Source organism: Homo sapiens, chromosome 11 (assembly GCF_000001405.40).
Source record: "Homo sapiens chromosome 11, GRCh38.p14 Primary Assembly".
NCBI classification, from domain to species: Eukaryota; Metazoa; Chordata; class Mammalia; order Primates; family Hominidae; genus Homo; species Homo sapiens.
The window spans coordinates 1,212,636-1,229,808 of NC_000011.10; the positions used below are offsets into that span (position 1 = coordinate 1,212,636).

General features: G+C 57.7%; 1 protein-coding gene across 1 annotated transcript in view, besides 3 other annotated features; it reads left to right on the forward strand.

The window, feature by feature from the left end:
- Positions 10,272-10,969: an enhancer, noted in NCBI's record as "H3K4me1 hESC enhancer chr11:1244137-1244834 (GRCh37/hg19 assembly coordinates)". NCBI's record gives its function as "activates a minimal SCP1, AML or CMV promoter by ChIP-STARR-seq in primed H9 embryonic stem cells {active_cell/tissue: H9 hESC(primed)}" and the evidence as "EXISTENCE:reporter gene assay evidence [ECO:0000049][PMID:30033119]".
- The window catches only part of MUC5B (mucin 5B, oligomeric mucus/gel-forming), a 39,107-nt gene continuing 32,364 nt past the window's right edge, over positions 10,431-17,173 (forward strand). The window contains exons 1-10 of the mRNA NM_002458.3: positions 10,431-10,558; positions 13,046-13,102; positions 13,570-13,641; positions 13,980-14,241; positions 14,396-14,510; positions 14,673-14,763; positions 15,040-15,146; positions 15,929-16,130; positions 16,535-16,660; positions 17,055-17,172. Of these exons, the coding sequence (NP_002449.2) occupies positions 10,489-10,558; positions 13,046-13,102; positions 13,570-13,641; positions 13,980-14,241; positions 14,396-14,510; positions 14,673-14,763; positions 15,040-15,146; positions 15,929-16,130; positions 16,535-16,660; positions 17,055-17,172 (1,220 nt within the window). The 5' untranslated portion in view covers positions 10,431-10,488. The remainder of the gene's footprint in view (positions 10,559-13,045; positions 13,103-13,569; positions 13,642-13,979; positions 14,242-14,395; positions 14,511-14,672; positions 14,764-15,039; positions 15,147-15,928; positions 16,131-16,534; positions 16,661-17,054; position 17,173) is intronic.
- Positions 10,970-11,665: an enhancer, noted in NCBI's record as "H3K4me1 hESC enhancer chr11:1244835-1245530 (GRCh37/hg19 assembly coordinates)". NCBI's record gives its function as "activates a minimal SCP1, AML or CMV promoter by ChIP-STARR-seq in primed H9 embryonic stem cells {active_cell/tissue: H9 hESC(primed)}" and the evidence as "EXISTENCE:reporter gene assay evidence [ECO:0000049][PMID:30033119]".
- Positions 11,666-12,363: an enhancer, noted in NCBI's record as "H3K27ac-H3K4me1 hESC enhancer chr11:1245531-1246228 (GRCh37/hg19 assembly coordinates)". NCBI's record gives its function as "activates a minimal SCP1, AML or CMV promoter by ChIP-STARR-seq in primed H9 embryonic stem cells {active_cell/tissue: H9 hESC(primed)}" and the evidence as "EXISTENCE:reporter gene assay evidence [ECO:0000049][PMID:30033119]".

Here is a 17,173-nt window from a genome sequence, read left to right on the forward strand (position 1 = left end):
GAGACAATGAGGAACAAAAAATTAGAAGACATACAAAAAAATAGTAAAATGGCAGTGGTAAGTACATCCTTATTAGTAATTACTTTAAATGCAAATAGACTTAGACTCTCCATTTAAAATGCAGAGACTGGTTAAAATCAATTTTTAAAAAACCATGATTGGCTGGGCATGGTGGCTCACGCCTGTAATTCCAGCACTTTGGGAGGCCAAGGCAGGCGGATCATGAGGTCAGGAGATTGAGACCATCCTGGCTAACATGGTGAAACCCCATCTCTACTAAAAATACAAAAAATTAGCCGGGCATGGTGGTGGGTGCCTGTAGTCCCAGCTACTTGGGAGGCTGAGGCAGGAGAATGGCGTAAACGTGGGAGGCAGAGATTGTAGTGAACCAAGATTATGCCACTGCACTCCAGCCTGGGCAACAGAGTGAGACTCTGTCTCAAAAAAAAAAAAAAGTCAATTCAACAAGAAGATATAACAACTATAAATATATATGAACCAAACAACAGAGCCTCCAGGTATATGAAGCAAACATTGTCAGAATGAAGGGAGAAATAAATAGTTCTATAACAATAGCTGAAGACTTCAGTACCACACTTTCAATAATCAATACAACAACCAGACAGATCAATAAGGAAACAGAGGACTTGAACAACACTATAGACCAATTAGACATAATGTACATGCACAGAACACTTCACCTACCAACAGCAGAAGACACATTTTTTTCCAAGTGCACATGAAATATTCTCCAGGAGAAACTATATGATAGGATCCAAAACAAGTCTTAATAAACTTTCAAAGATTGAAATCACACAAAGTATTCTACAAAGGAATGAAGCTAAAAATCAATAATAAAAGAAAAACTAAAATGTACAAATATGAGGAAATTGAATATCACACCTTTAAATAACAAACAGGTCAAAGAAGAAATCACCAAAGATATTAGGCATTCTTAAAGCTTGAATGAAAACAAAACCACAATGTATCCAAACTTATAAGACACACAAAGGTAGTAATGAGAGGGAAATGTATAGCTAGAAACAACTAAATCAAAAAAGAAGAAATATCTTAAATCAATAACCTAATTGTATACCTTAAGGAACTAGAAAAAGAAGAGAAAACTAAACCCAAAGCTACCAAAAGGGAGGACATAATAAAGGTTACAATAGAAATAAATAAAACAAGGAATTTTAAAAAATCATAGGAAAAAAAGCCTTCAATGAAACCAAAAGTTGGTTCTTTAAAAAGATCAACCAAATTGACAAACTTTTAGCTAGATTGGCTAAGAAAAAAGAGAAGATTCAAATTACTAAAATCAGAAATAAAAAGGATATTACTAAAAATTTTACAGGAACAAAAACAATTATAAGAGAATGCTATGAACAATTGTCTGCCAACAAATTTGATAACTTAGAAGAAACAGGCAAATTCCTCAAAAGCACTCTATGTAGCAAAACTGCCTCATGAAGAAATAGGCAAACTGAGTAGATGTAGAAAAGGAGATTAAGTCAGTAATCAAAACCCTCCTATATAAAGAAAATCACAGGGCCTGATGGCTTTACTGGTTAATTCTAACAGGCATTTAAAGAAGAATTAACACCAATATGTATCAAATTCTTCCAAAAGATTGGAAAAAAAGGGCAACCGTTCTGTATTAGTCCATTTTCATCCTGCTAAAGAAATACCCATGACTGAGTAATGTATAAAGAAAAAGAGGTTTAATGGACTCACAGTTCCACATGGCTGGGGAGGCCTCACAATCATGGTGGAAGGCAAAGAAGGAGCAAAGGCACATCTTATATGGCAGCAGGGGAGAGAGTGTGTGCAGGGGAACTGCCCTTTATAAAACCACCAGATCTCTTGAGACTTATTCACTGTCCTGAGAACGGCACCCATATCAACTTCCTAACTCATTCTATGAAGCTAGCATTACACTGACAACCAAGGAGACAAAGACAAAACAAGTCAAGAAAACTAAAGACCAATATCCTTTAAAAATATTGATGAAAAAAATCCTCCACAAAATACTAGCAAACTGAACTCAGCAGCTTCCTAAAGGGATTCTACACCATGATCAAATGGGTTTTCTTCCTGGGCTGCAAGCGTGGTTCAAGATATGAAAATCAACCATTTAAACACACCACATTAATAGAATGAAGCAGGAAAAAAAAAATCCATGACCATTTCAATGGATGCAGAAGAAGCATTTGCCAAAATTCAACACCATTTCATGGTTAAAAATAAACAAAAACAAAACAAAACAACCAACTAGAAATAGGAGGAAACTACTTCAACATGATAAGGGCCATATGTAAAAAGCCCACAGCCAACCTCATATTCAGTGATGAAAGACTGAAACCTTTTCCTCTAAAATTGGGAAAAAGACAACAAGGCTTGTATTCACCATTTGTATTCAACATAGGGTTCGAAGTTCTAACCAGAGCAATAAGGCAAGAACGAGAAATAACAGAAACGAAAATTGGTAAGGACGATGTAACATTACTATGTTCACAGATGACATGCTATTATATATAGAAATCCCCCAAAATTCCACCCCAGTACTACTGAAGCTGATTAAAGCATTCAGCAATACACACTAGCCATGAACAATGGGAAAAGGATATTAAGAAAACAATTCCATTTACATAGCATCCAAAAGAATAAAATGCTTAGGAAATAAACATAACCGAAGAGGCAAAACATCTGTACACTGAAAACTACAGAACATTGTTGAAAAAAATATTTAAAGACATAAAGTGGAAAGACATCCTGTGTTCATGGGTTTGAAGACAATATTGATAAGGTAACAATACTACCCAAAGGTAATACAGATTCCATGCAATCCTTATCAAAATTCTCACGGTACTTTTGTAGAAATAGGAAAATCCATGCTAAACTTTGTATAGAATCTCAAGGGACCCTGAATAGCCAAAATAGTCTTTCAAACGAACAAAATTGGAGGACTCATACTTCTTATTTTTAAAATGCATGACAACACTGCAGTCATCAAGTTGCTGTACTGGCATAAGGACAGATATATGGAGCAATGGACTGGAACAGAGAGCCAGGAATAAACCTTGGCATATATGATCAATTGAATTTTTTTTTTTTTTTTTGGAGACAGAGTTTTGCTCAGTTGTCCAGGCTGGAGTGCAGTGGCACAATCTTGGTTCACTGCAACCTCCACCTCCCAGGCTCAAGTGATTCTCGTGCCTCAGCCTCCTGAGTAATTGGGATTACAGGCACCTGCCACCACACGTGGCTAATTTTTTGTATTTTAGTAGAGACAGGGTTTCACCATGTTGCCTAGGGTGGTCTCGAACTCCTGAGCTCAGGTGATCCACTGGCCTCAGCCTCCCAAAGTGCTGGGATGACAGGCGTGAGCCGCCGTGCCTGGCCCTGGGATGACGGACGTGAGCCACCATGCCTGGCCTGGTCAGTTGATTTTCAACTTGTGTGCCAAAACCACTTAATGGAGAAAGGGCAATCTTTTTGACAAATGGCTCTGGGAAAACTGTATATCCACATGCAAAAGAGTGCAATTGAACACTTACCTTATGACAGATTTTTCAAAATCCTTGAAATAGATCAAACACCTGAACATACGAGCTAAAATTATAAAACCCTTAGAAGAAAACATAGGAGAAAATCTTATGACATTGAATTTGGCAAGGATTTCTTGAACATGCAGCAAAAGCACAGGCAATAAAATAGATAAATAAGACTTCATCAAAATTAAAACCTCTTGTGCATCAAAAGAGAGGGAAAAGATAAGCCCAGGAGAAAATATTTGCCAATAATATACCTGATAAAGAATCAATATCTAGAACATATAAAGAACTCCTAAAATGTAGCAACAACAAGAAAACCCAACAGACCCAACTAAAAAATTGACAAAGGACATGAATGGACATTTTTCTTTTTTCTTTTCTTTCTCTTTCTTTCCTTTCTTTCTTTCTTTTCTTTCTTTCTCTCTCTTTCTTTCTTTACCTTCCTTCCTTCTTTCTCCTTCCTTCCTTCCTTCTGTCTCTCTCTCTCTCTTTCTTTCTTTCTTTCTTTCTTTCATTTTGAGATGGAGTCTCTCTCTGTCACCCAGGCTGGAGTGCAATGGCACTATCTCGGCTCACTGCAACCTCCGCCTCCTGCGTTCAAGAGATTCTCCTGCCTCAGCCTCCCGAGTAGGTGGGATTACAGGTGCTCATCACTACGCCTGGCTAATTTTTATATTTTTAGTAGAGATGGGGTTTCACCATGTTGACCAGGCTGGTCTCGAACTCCTGACCTCAAGTAATCCACCCGCCTCGGCCTCCCAAAGTGTTGGGATGACAGGCATGAGCCACTGCGCCTGGCCTGAATGGACATTTTTCCAAAGGAAATGTGTGAATGGCCCATGAGCACATACAAAGACACTCGACATCACTATTAGGGAAATGCAAGTCCAGACCACAGGGAAATATCACGTGGTGATTTTTTTTTTTAAAGATAACAAGTGTTGGTGAAGATATAGAGAAATTGGAACCGCCGTGCATGGCTGGCGGGAGCATAAAACGGCACAGCCGCTGTGGAGCAGTCTAGCAGCTGCTCAGAAAGCCAAACATAGACTTACCGTGTGACCCAGCCATTCTGCTCCCAGCCAGAGGGACTCCTAGCTGAGGAACTGGAAACAGGGACTCAGATTCCTGGGCACATTGCGATGTCCATCGCAGCCTCATTCACAAAACCAAAAGGCAGAAGCAGCCCGAGGGTCCACCGACGGGCGAATTGATGAACCCAGCGGGGCCCATCCACGCAGTGGAAAATGACTCTGCCTTAAACAAGGAAGGAGACCCAGACATAGGCAACAACACGGACGAAACTTGAGGACATGGTGCTCCGTGAAACAAGCCAGTCACATCAGAATGGGTATTGTATGAGTCCATTTATACGAGGTCCTCTAGAGGACCAAACTTACGGAGAGAGTTGAGGTTGGTGGATGCGTGGGGCTCGGGGAGGGGAGTGGGAGCTGGTGTTTCATGGGGACGGAGTTTCAGTGCAGGGCGATGGGAAAGCTCTGGGGATGGTCGGACAACAGTGTAAGTGGACTTAATGCTCCTATATTAATTTAAAAATGGCAAAATGGGTGGCGCGGTGGCTCACTCCTGTCATCCCAGCACTTTGGGAGGCTGAGGCAGGCGGATCACGAGGTCAAGAGATTGGGACCATCCTGGCCAACATGGTGAAACCCCGTCTCTACTAAAAATACAAAAATTAGCTGGGCGTGGTGGTGCACACCTGTAGTCCCAGCTACTTGGGAGGCTGAGGCAGGAGACTCGCTTGAACTGAGGGAGCAGAGGTTGCAGTGAGCTGAGATCGAGCCACTGCACTCCAGCCTGGCGACAGAACAAGACTCCATCTCAAAAAAAAAAAAAAAAAAATTGCAAATTGGGCGGTGTGGTGGCTGACTCCTCTCATCCCAGCACTTTGGGAGGCTGAGGTGGGAGGATCGCTTGAGGCTGGGAGTTCATGACAGCCTGGGCAACAGAGTGAGACCTCGTCTCTACAAAAACAAACAAACAAACAAACAAGACTAAAATGATCAATGTTATGTCACATACACTTCACCACTGTTTTAGAAAAAATGCCCTATAGTTTTCCTGCTTTAAATGATCGGATCAATTCGCCCCACTCCCCCGGGCTCCTCCCCACACCTGACCCTGCCCTCACTTCTGGCTCCCCTCAGCCCCCTGTGCCCCAGCCCCAGCCACACCAGGTGCATTTGGACCCTCCAGGTCGCCGAGTTCATCCCCGCCTCGGCGTCTCTGCACCTGCTGTTCCCTGGTTTACAGCTCAACCGTCATCCTCCCACCCCACCCAGAGGACCATCCTCTTTTGTTCCTTGGAAGCTGGTGCTGCTGCTGCAAAGTCCATGCTACTGGAAGCCTCGAAGTAGGGGGGATTCTGTTCTAGTCTTTGTCAAATCCCACTGCCCATGGCAGCACCAGGACCCAGTTGGGGCTCCTTGGAACTGGCAGGAAGGAATCGGGTGGGGAGACAGGCAGAGAAGGGGGTCTGTGCAAAGACCAGGAGAAACCAGAGACAGGTCGTGGCGGGGGCTGAGACCTTCACACAGGGCAGGGGCCGCCCCGGGGGGTTCTCCTTGTCTTGCAGCCCCTGTGCAGGGCATCCTCAGAGCAGGGGCAGCCCAGGGCACCGGGACGCCCAGGTGGAAGGTGACCTGCCATCCTGCAGCTTCACTTCCTGCCGGGTGATTCGGTACCCCTGGTTGTGCCTGTCGCTCAGTGGGCCAGGGTCTAAGGGCTGTGAAGACTCAACATGCCCCCACCTGCTACTTCTGAACACCAGGCACTGGCTCTGAGACCCCCGGGCCTTGCTGGACATCTCCCCAGGTGTACTGGGCCAGGGGACAGGGGCCTGGCCATCCCAACACCCAGGAGCAAGCAGCCCGTCACCTGCCCAGGTCCCCGAGGCCTGGAACACCTTCCTGCTGGGCCCACCCAGCCCTGGACCTGTCCCGCTTGGTCACACGATGGGACCCTCGGCCCATCAGCAGGTGAGCCCCCAGGAGCGTGCGTCTGGCCTGGTAAGGCCTCCACCCCAGGAGTTGGGGGGCCCCCGTGCCAGGGAGCAGGAGGCTGCCGAGGTGGAGGGTCCCACACAGCTACCACTCCCTATCCCCAGCACAGCCTGGGGCCTGGCTCTGAGTACACATCCTGGGGCCTGGCTCTGAGCAGACCAAGAGCCCATCCCTGCTTTGTGACCCCCTGGGCTGTGCCTGACACCCCAGGTGTCCAGCGTGGAGCTGGGGCCCAGCTCAGTGCCTGGGAGCTGATGGACCCTGGGGCCCGGCTCAGTGCCTGGTGGCTGATGGACACTGGGGCCTGGCTCAAACCTGCACCGCTGTGGTCGGGGGAGGGGAGGGCTGAGCCACGTGGGGACCCCAGCCCCAGTGACGACTCTTTGCGGTGGCCAAGCCCTCCAGGTGTCCCCCAGGGCTGAGGGGCTGGGCTTGGGGCAGCTGGTGACAGCAGATGGTGGCCCTGATCACTGGTGCCTGGACGGCCTCTGAAGGGGTCTGTGGGGTCCTGGACGGGTCCCCATTCATGGCAGGATTAACCCCCCTCGGGTTCTGTGTGGTCTAGGCCGCCCCTTTGTCTCCACTGCCCCCTGGCCAGAATGAGGGACAGTGACCCACCCAGGGCTGGGCCTGGCTCAGACTCCGTCAGAGCCGCAGGGCAAGTTCCTGGCACGTCCGAGGTGGGAGGCTCCTCTGCGCTCCAGGAGGCTGTGCCTGGCCCCCCTTCCCGGCAGGAACCGGCTGTGTCCCTTTCCTTCCTTTATCTTCTGTTTTCAGCGCCTTCAACTGTGAAGAGGTGAACTCTTCAAACACGCTGAGCAAACAGGCCCGACTCCCAGGGCCGCATCCGGGATGTCTCAATAGCTGTGGCCTTGACGTCCACCTCGGACCCCTGCCCCGGACCCAGCCCAGTTCCCAATGGGCCCTCTGCCCGGGGAGGTGCCTAGTGGGAGGGACGAGGGCAAAGTCGGGGCCCCCACTTGTTTGGTGTCACTGTGTGCCAGCGGCCACTGGCGGGCGAGGCTGTTCCAGGGTGGAGGCGGGGAGGGTTGGACCACAGGCACTGAGCGGGGACAGAGGAGCTGCCTGAGGGTCCCAGCTCTGCCATGGAGAAAACGCTATCTCGCTGATGCAGAGGTGCCCGGCCCACTCGAGCTGGGGGTGAGGGGGCTGCTCCCCAGTGGGCCGCCAGCCCCCATGAAGGCCGCGGGCACCGGCCGTGGTCAGGGAGGGCAGGGGACAGGCAGTGGGGGCCAGCAGGGGAGACACTAGGCTTGGCCCCAGCACCCAGGTGGGCATCGGCTTGTGAGCTGGAGCCGCGGGCAGGGAGGGGGGATGTCACGAGGGCTTGGCTAAGGTGGGAGACCTGGGCGGGTGCGTCGGGGGGACGTCTGCAGCAGAGGCCCGGGCAGCAGGCACACCCCTCCTGCCAGTGCGAGGAACGAGGCGCCACAGCGGCCGGTAGCCCCCCATTTGCCCAGCCTGGCCTGGAGCAGGCAGGAAGGCCGGGGAGAGGGGTCTGGCTGGGGCCTGGGTGCAGTCACAGCCACGAGCCCAGGGGTGGGGACTCTGGCCCACCCTCCAGACCATCCTCAAGGCCCACTGGCCCAGGCATCCCCGCCCACCCCTCCCACCGTGCCGTGCTGCAGCGGGTCTACCGGCCTGGATGTGAAAGAGAGCTTGGAGACCCCAGAGACCTCGGAACCTTCAGCTTTGGAAGTGACGTCGGTGGGGTGGGTGGGGGGAGCACAGGCTCTGGAGTCCCGGAAGTGAGCGGGGAGCTACGCTGAGATCTGGGAGACCCCCTGCCCCCACCCAGGTACAGGGCCAGGCAGAAGCCCGAGGTGTGCCCTGAGTTAAAGAAACCGTCACAAAGAACAAAGGGAGAAGGCGGGTTCCAGCCTCCACCACAGCCCTCGCGCTCTGAGGAGCCACCTGGGGGCCTCAGCCATGAGGGGTGACAGGTGGCAAAACGGGCCAGCTCCGTTCACGTCGCTGTGCAGCTGTCTCCGCCCTCCATCTCCAGAACGTTCTCACATTCCCAAGCTGAAACCCTGTCCCCATGCAACACCAGCTCACCATCCCCTCTGCCAGCCCCTGGCGCCCACCGTCCACACTCCGTCTCTGCGGGTTTCATGACTCCAGGGGCAGCACACGAGTGGCCCCTCCTGCCTTTGTCCTCTGTGTCCACCTGCCTCACTCTGCACAGTGTCCCCAGCTTCCCCCATGGAGCAGCCTGGGCCAGCCTCTCCTTTTCACGGCTGAACCGTATTCCACCGCACGGATCAGCCTCACGATGCTGACCCAGTCCTCCGCCCAGGGACACATGGGCAGCTTCTGCCCTTTGTCAGTGATGCTGCTGTGGACATGGGTGTGCAAATGTCCCTCAGGACCCGCCTTCAGTTCTTCTGGGGACAGACCCAGAGTGGAGTTGCTGGTCACCCCCACCAGCAGGGCACAGGGCTCCGGGTCCCCACGTCTCTGCCAACACTTCCTACTTCCTGTGTTTCTTGATCCCCGCCATCCTATTGAGCGTGAGACAGGTCAGAAGCTTTGAAGATGGGCTTTCGTCTTGTCCCAGAAATCCCACCTCTAAGAATTTAACTTCAGAAAGACAAACGCGGGGGAGCTGGTGCAGGGCCCGTGACGGGGACTGTGACGTAAATAAAACAACAGACCTGGACACCACCCTAGGGTCCCCATGGGGCCGGACGAGGCCACACCACCCGACCTGGTGCTTCCTGCCTGGCGTCTGCGCCACGGAGCATTCAGGACGCTGGTGACCAGGGAGCCAGGAGGTGGGAGCATCTGAGGTGCAGGTCACACGGGCAGGAGGTGTTTGCAAGAGGTATTGCAGCGCGGACGGAGTGTCCTGCAGATGACGCTGTCTGTCCTGTAGATGACGCTCGTCAAGGAGGTTTACCACATAGCCCCCAGGAAGCCCACCCGACACCAGCCGGAGGTGCTAGGCTTCTGCGGCTCCCACCTGGGGCAGGCGGAGGACCCCGGGCAGGTCCAGGACCCCCCGGAGCAGCTGCTTCCTCAACCCTGCCAGGGTTAATGAGGAGGCCCCAGAGTGAGGTGGAGGCCAAATGGGACTCAGGGCCGGAGCCTCTGGCCTGGCTGGATCAGGGCTGGCATTGGACAAGCGCAGCTGACTCCCGATGTGCATGGCCAGGAGACACTCTGGGCCTCAGTTTCCCCTTGAATGTGAACCTTGAAACAGATCAGCCCAGAGACCTCCCACGGTCTTCAAGGGGCTCTGGTCAGCTGGGCTGGGGTCTCTGGAAATAGAGCCTCCTCCAGGGACCCCCACAAGCCACCCAGACTGAGCATCCTGGCCATGTGCATGCCTGAGCTCAGCAGGAGCCTCCCGGCCTCCCCGTGGGCTAAGCAGTGGTGGGAGGGGAGCTCCAGCCTCGTGGGCCCTCCCCGGGCCTCGGGGACCCATGGTCAGTGGCTGGGGGTGCTGCCCAGAGGCTGGGATTCCCTTCCAGCAGGAGCCGCAGTGGGGCTGAGTGTGAGGCAGGCTGGCTGACCACTGTTTCCATGGACCCTGCGTCCAAGGCCAGCCCTGCCTTCCAGCGGCTTTGCCATCTAGGACGGGTGCCAGGTGGGGTAGGCCCTTCTCTCCCTTCCGATTCTCAGAAGCTGCTGGGGGTGGGGGCGTCCTGGGCCTCAGGGCACAGAGCTGCAAATCCTTCCTGATCCAGGCCTCTCCCCTGCCACAGCCCCTCCCCGAGAGCAAACACACGTGGCTGGAGCGGGGAAGAGCATGGTGCCCTGCGTGGCCTGGCCTGGCTTGGGGCCAAGGCTCCCTGCTACATAAGCTGGGGCCCCCAGGGGAGCAAGCACCCGGCCCGGCTCCCTCCCTGCCCGTCCCCGTCCCCCCACCCGTGCCAGCCCCCAGGATGGGTGCCCCGAGCGCGTGCCGGACGCTGGTGTTGGCTCTGGCGGCCATGCTCGTGGTGCCGCAGGCAGGTAAGAGCCCCCCACTCCGCCCCCTCTCGATGCTGTCTTCACGGCGGGGGTCTCTGCAGGTCGCTTGCCTGGGAGCTTCTCCTGCAGAGTGCACGGGCAGATCCCCCTACGACTCCCTGAGTGTCCTGGATGGGACCCTACCCGTCCCCAACACAGGGCTCTGGGGCCCCACGGGCTCACAGTGTCAGGAAACTCAGGGGCTGGCTTGGATGGGGTGTCCAGGAGAAGGTGGGCCCCTGACCGCAGGGCAAGGCCCCTGGGAGACCACCGAAAGGGTCTTGGTCTTGGGGGTGGGACAGGAGTGGGCAATGGGGGAGGGGGTCACAGCTGGGGGTCTCTCTGGAGCCCCATGAGGCCCAGGCATCAGAGTGAGCAGGGGCAGGCTTAGCGTGGACCCCTGTCCAGGACCGGCTCTACCCTTCACGACCTCCCTGGGGATCACAGCTGGCAGGGCAGGTGAGGGTACCACCCTCAAGGGTTGCACAGCCAGCCGCAAGAGCCCCGGCCTCAACCCACGCTCGACTCCCACGGCCCATCTGTGGGCATCTCATGCCGCACGGGCTGCCTGGCTCTCAGCCGAGCGTTTTCCCTCGTCTGCTGTCTCTTGGCCAGAGCCGCAGCATTAATACTTACTGTCAATAGAGAAAGATGCAGCCCCAGGGGCCACCGGGAGACACCCAGCCGGGCTGGCCATGAGGCTGCTGCAGCCCCTCCCTGCCCCGCCCTCCACCCCCTCCCAAGCTTGGGGTCTGGGCTGGGCAGGTGAGGCTCCCTGGGGTCTCTCTCCATCTGTGGAAGGGAGGCTGGGTGGTCAGCAGGGCTGGAGGCAGGGGGCTTCCCCCAGTGGCTCCCAGCCTGGGCCCGGGGGGAGCTGCGTCTGGCTGCAAGGTTTGGGGGCTGGTTTGACCAGAATAGCCACCTCCTTGCATCTGATTCTTCCGGGCCATGCAGCCTTGGCTCCCCTCACCTGAGCAGGCAGGGCCTAGGGACTCTCAGCCCACCCGTCCTCCTGTCCTCCACGCACGTCCAAGTTGGGGAGATCAAGCCCTTGGCAGGGACTGTGCTTTAGTCACCAGATGCACGTCCTGTGGCCGGGGAAGGCAGCCCTGCACAGAGCAGCTTCATGTTAGGGGACACACCCCAAAGTGATGGGGTGGCTGGTGGTGGGCACTTCTCTGGCTACAAGATGGAGGCCCAGGTGGTCCAGCCCAAGGAGGGCACTGCACGGAGCAGATAACCAAGGGCAGTCAGCCTGGGCAGGGGAGGGGCTGCCTGGGGGGGAGGGGTTGCCTGGGTTGGGGAGGGGCTGTCTGGGGCAGGGGAGGAGCTGCCTGGGGCGGGGGAGGGGCTGTAGGGCCAGGGAGGGGCTGCCTGGGGCTGGGGAGGGGCTGCTGGGGTGGGGAGGGGCTGCCTGCGGCGGGAGCCGGGGCGTGGGAGTGGCTGGTTGGGCTGGCACACAGGGGCAGGGCTGTGAGCTGTGGGTCGGGGTGGAGGACTCAGGGATCGGCTGGCTTTCTGGGAAAGGCAGTCAACCTGGATCTCTGGAGGCGGCCCCTGTGGTGGTTCCCAGATGTCAGCAGGACCTGGCTGGAAAAGCCAGGCAGGGCCAGGCCAGAGTGCGAACCACAGGGCCGGCCCCTCGCTGAGCCCTGACCATGCTGTGGGGGCTGGGGCCTCACCTCCCACCTCCCCACAGAGAGTCTCAGATCAGGATCCAGGGAGGAGCTCTGGGGTCCTGTGAAGGGGGCGCCCCAACCCAAACTGGGCAGACAATGGCCGGGGGTCCTCAGAGTCCTGTGGGTTGGAGCTGCCTCCTCCCAGCCTCCATGGGGTTGGTGGGTGAGGCCTTGCCCGGAGGCGGTGGTCAGCCTGGGGGACCTTGGGCGGCCATCCCAGTATCAACGGCCACACAGCTTGCGCGGCCCAGAGTCCTGCCCCCAGCCTGCCCCACTCGCCCTGACTTAGGATCTAGTTCGAAACTGGTTCTGTGTTTAGGTTTCTGCTAAGTCACGCCTGGAAGGCTCCAAGTGTGTCCTCCTAACAAAGCTGGTCTTTGTCCTTCTCCAAGGGATGTGTGGGATGGGGCGAAATCCCCCCTTGGGGCGGCCAACGCCTTTTCCTGATTCCATTTTCTCCCCCATCCCTTGAGAAGGAGGCACCATCCCCGCCTGTCAGTCGGGGACAGGGCAGGCCGTGCTGGGGGCAGCTCAGGGCTCCCTGCTGGAAGCTTCCATCCCGCAGGCTTTCCATAGCATTGAGCAGGAGCGGAGGCATCTGCGGCTGACGGTTGGGGTGGCCTGAGCGGCTGGGGAGGAGTCCCGGCCTTGGCCACAGTGTGTCGTGAGGGTGAACCTGCAGGGCATGGAGACCGCCACCAAGGACCCCACATGCGGCTGCCGCACCAGGGATGTGGCCAGGTCCGTGGTTGGGTTCGTGGCTGGCAGCCACATCTAGTTCCTCACTGACTCCCATTCCCTCTTCCCACAGAGACCCAGGGCCCTGTGGAGCCGAGCTGGGAGAATGCAGGGCACACCATGGATGGCGGTATGTGGCCAGGTTCGGGGGTGGGGGGTTCCTGACCAGGCTGGAGGGGCTGGAATTTGGGCTGGGGCAGGCAGACGCCTCTCCAAGCAGCCATGCGTCTGACAGAGACCCTCCCTGGGTCCCCTGCCCAGGACAATACCCAGCACCCGAGGCGGAGCTTGGTGCTCCAAAGAAGAGGAAAGTGCAGAGCAGAGAGACATGCACACAGAAGCACACGCGTGGACAGGCACATGCGTGCCCACACTTACACTGGCACACACATGTGTGCACACACAGGCCAAAACACAAGGGCAGCAGTGTTTGTGGGGCAGACAGGGCCAAGGGTAAAGGGGCTGCCTTGGCCCCAGCCCATCAGTTTTGGGCTCCCCTTCAACTCTGGTGGCTGGCGAGGAGGGTGGGCCCCGGGGAGGGTGTCTCTGCTTCCCCTTCCTGGCCACGTTCCTGGGGTGACCAGCCTTCACCCACAGGTGCCCCGACGTCCTCGCCCACCCGGCGCGTGAGCTTTGTTCCACCCGTCACTGTCTTCCCCAGCCTGAGCCGTAAGCAGATGCTGCCCCTGCCAGCCGGGAAGGGGGTGTTTGCCAGTCCCAAAGGTGGGGGCCCAGATCTAGGGGTGCAGCTGCCACCAGGTGGGGCCGTTGGGCCAGACCCAGAGTCCTCCGTGTGGGCGGTCTCCTGGTCACTGGCCACCCTGGGGGATGGGGACGGGTCAGGGGTCTTGGAGCAAAACAGACGCAGTCCAGGGTGAGCCAGGCAGGGCACAGCCAGCAGCCGACCATGGGCTTTTCCATTCCAAAAACCAGGGTGCCTCGGCCCAGGGGAGGCTACCCCGTGGGGGGCTGGCATGGGGATGGGCCTCATCCCGCGCTCCCCACAGCCCTGAACCCGGCGCACAATGGGCGGGTGTGCAGCACCTGGGGTGACTTCCACTACAAGACCTTCGACGGCGACGTCTTCCGCTTCCCTGGCCTTTGCAACTACGTGTTCTCTGAGCACTGCCGCGCCGCCTACGAGGACTTCAACGTCCAGCTACGCCGAGGCCTAGTGGGCTCCAGGCCTGTGGTCACCCGTGTTGTCATCAAGGCCCAGGGGCTGGTGCTGGAGGCGTCCAACGGCTCCGTCCTCATCAATGGGCAGCGGTGAGCCGGCCACCCTGGGGAGGGGCGAGGGCCGGGCCACACAGTGTGACCTCCCCACACGGCCATGTCTGACCTGGGCCAGGGCTGGGGGGGGGTTGGGTGGGCAGGCAGCCAGGAGAGCGGGGCCCAGGGAGAGACCCCGCTGTCTGCGCAGGGAGGAGCTGCCTTACAGCCGCACTGGCCTCCTGGTGGAGCAGAGCGGGGACTACATCAAGGTCAGCATCCGGCTGGTGCTGACATTCCTGTGGAACGGAGAGGACAGTGCCCTGGTGAGGAAGCCCCCTCGCCCCTTGCCCCTTCAGGCCTGGCCACAAAACCCCCACCGGGGGTCGAGGGATGCCTCCCTGGGCTTGGGGTCACGGGGCTTGGGGCATGTTGCCAGTGTGGGGATCAGAGGTCCTGAGGCTGGAGCTGCCCCTCCCCACTCTCAGCTGGAGCTGGATCCCAAATACGCCAACCAGACCTGTGGCCTGTGTGGGGACTTCAACGGCCTCCCGGCCTTCAACGAGTTCTATGCCCACAGTGAGTGCCACCTGGGTGAGGGGGCGGTGACCAATTATGTCGGCCAACGAAGAGCCACAGTCCCGGGGAGGCCGGGAGGGGGCGGAGTGGGGACCGGGCACCAGGCAGGGAGGGGCCACGAGGACTGTGCCCTACATGGTGGGAGGAGTGCCCCTCGGGGGTGTTGGGCCCTAGGCAGGAGTGGGAGTCCTCTGGCCTGGGCTCAGGAAGTGGGAGCCCATATCTTGTCCCCAGGAGCCCCTCAGAGCCACCACACCCCTGCTTTCTTCCCGGCAGACGCCAGGCTGACCCCGCTCCAGTTTGGGAACCTGCAGAAGTTGGATGGGCCCACGGAGCAGTGCCCGGACCCGCTGCCCTTGCCGGCCGGCAACTGCACGGACGAGGTGAGTCCCCCGCCACCCCCAGCTCCTGGGCAGGGACGGCCTCCAGGTCCAGGGGGAGCTGGGCCGAGGTCTGAGGAATGTTCCCAGCTGGTGGAGAGATGGTGCCATTGGAGGGAGGCCGGGCAGCCACCCTCTGTGTGCTCAGTTCCACGGTACACACTGTCCGAGTGTGGTGACGTGCGTGTTCATCAGGCCACGCGTGTGCCCATCTGTGTGAGCAAACACAGGCCCATGCTGCACAGGCTGGGCTGAGGGTGGGCACTCGGGAAGCCCGGAGCCAGCCCTTCCCACCAGCAGGTGGACTCAGAAGGGGCCTGGAGGCTCCAGGATCCCCAAACCAGCAGGATCTCTGAGCCTTAAGTTGTGCTGTGAATGACAGCATGAGCCCCCCTGTGAGCTGGGCCCCGCAGCCGGCAGCCCTGGGCCTGGGGACGGAGGACACTCAGCACTGGACTGCCCTGAACCTGCCGGGCTGCCCAGAGAGGCGGGGCCTCCACCTCCCCTCCTTGGCTCCGCCTCCTGGGGTGGGGGTCTGCACCTTTCTTGGGCGCTTACTCCACGGGCAGGCACATCCGGAGTAGGGGATCCCCGGTCACGGGTCACTCCCCAAGGGCCAAGCAGAGCTCTGCATGGCCACAGTGGGTGGAAGGGGTGGGGCTGGGTACAAGGAACCCCGACAGGGAGAGGGCTTCCCGGCCTGGCCTGCCATGGGTCCTATTCCAGCACCGTGGCAGCCCCCATGGATGGCAGGGGTGCCCAGCCTGGCCCACTGTGCTCCCCAGGAGGGCATCTGCCACCGCACCCTGCTGGGGCCGGCCTTTGCGGAGTGCCACGCACTGGTGGACAGCACTGCGTACCTGGCCGCCTGCGCCCAGGACCTGTGCCGCTGCCCCACCTGCCCGTGTGCCACCTTTGTGGAATACTCACGCCAGTGCGCCCACGCGGGGGGCCAGCCGCGGAACTGGAGGTGCCCTGAGCTCTGCCGTGAGTGCTCCCAGGGCCTTCGCCAGGGATTGTGCCAGAGAGAAGGGGCAGGGGGAGCGCCTTGGGGGCCACTGGGGGTGGGGAGGCCTGGGGGACAGGGGTGGAGGGCAGAGGACCCACCCCAGGCATAGTGGGCAGAGGCCACCCCAGGACCCCAGGAGGGGGTGGGGCCTCCGGGGGCTGCAGGAGAAGGAGAGGCTGTGGAGAGGCTGTGCAGCAGGTGGCGGGGGCTGGGGCTGGAGGGTGGAGCTGCCCACGATGAGGGGCGTCAGGGCCACCCTGGGGCCTAGCTCTGGCTTCTGTGGACTTGATGGCATGTGGAAGGCCGTGGAAGGCGGCTGGGGCTGACCACACGGGCAGTACAGGGCCCTTCCCCTGGCCCAGCCCCACCTCCTTTTGCGCAGCCCGGACCTGCCCCCTCAACATGCAGCACCAGGAGTGTGGCTCACCCTGCACGGACACCTGCTCCAACCCCCAGCGCGCGCAGCTCTGCGAGGACCACTGTGTGGACGGCTGCTTCTGCCCCCCAGGCAGGTCTTGTGTGCCCTGAACCCCTCAGGGGGCTTTCAGGTCCCTGCTCCCAACCCCGCCCCCAGCCTCATCAGGCGTGGAAGCAGAGCCCCTCATGCCAGAAGGTCCCACCAGAGGGCCCAGGGTGGGAAGGGCACTGGCTGGGAGGGTGCCGGAAGACCTGCCGATGCGTGGAGGGAGGTAGAGCAGTGCCATGAGCCAGCTGGGCATGGTGGGGAAACTGAGGCCCAGAGGTGCTTGGTGTTCATCCAAGCGAGTGCAGCTCAGGGCGGGGGCGGTGTCCTGGAGCAGGAATTCCTCCCCAAGGGAGGCAGCTTGTCCCCAAGGCCGGTGTCTTCTGACCTTGGTGTCCCCCGTGCATGGGCCGGCCCTGCCTCACGCCGCGCCCCACAGGCACGGTGCTGGATGACATCACGCACTCTGGCTGCCTGCCCCTCGGGCAGTGCCCCTGCACCCACGGCGGCCGCACCTACAGCCCGGGCACCTCCTTCAACACCACCTGCAGCTCCTGG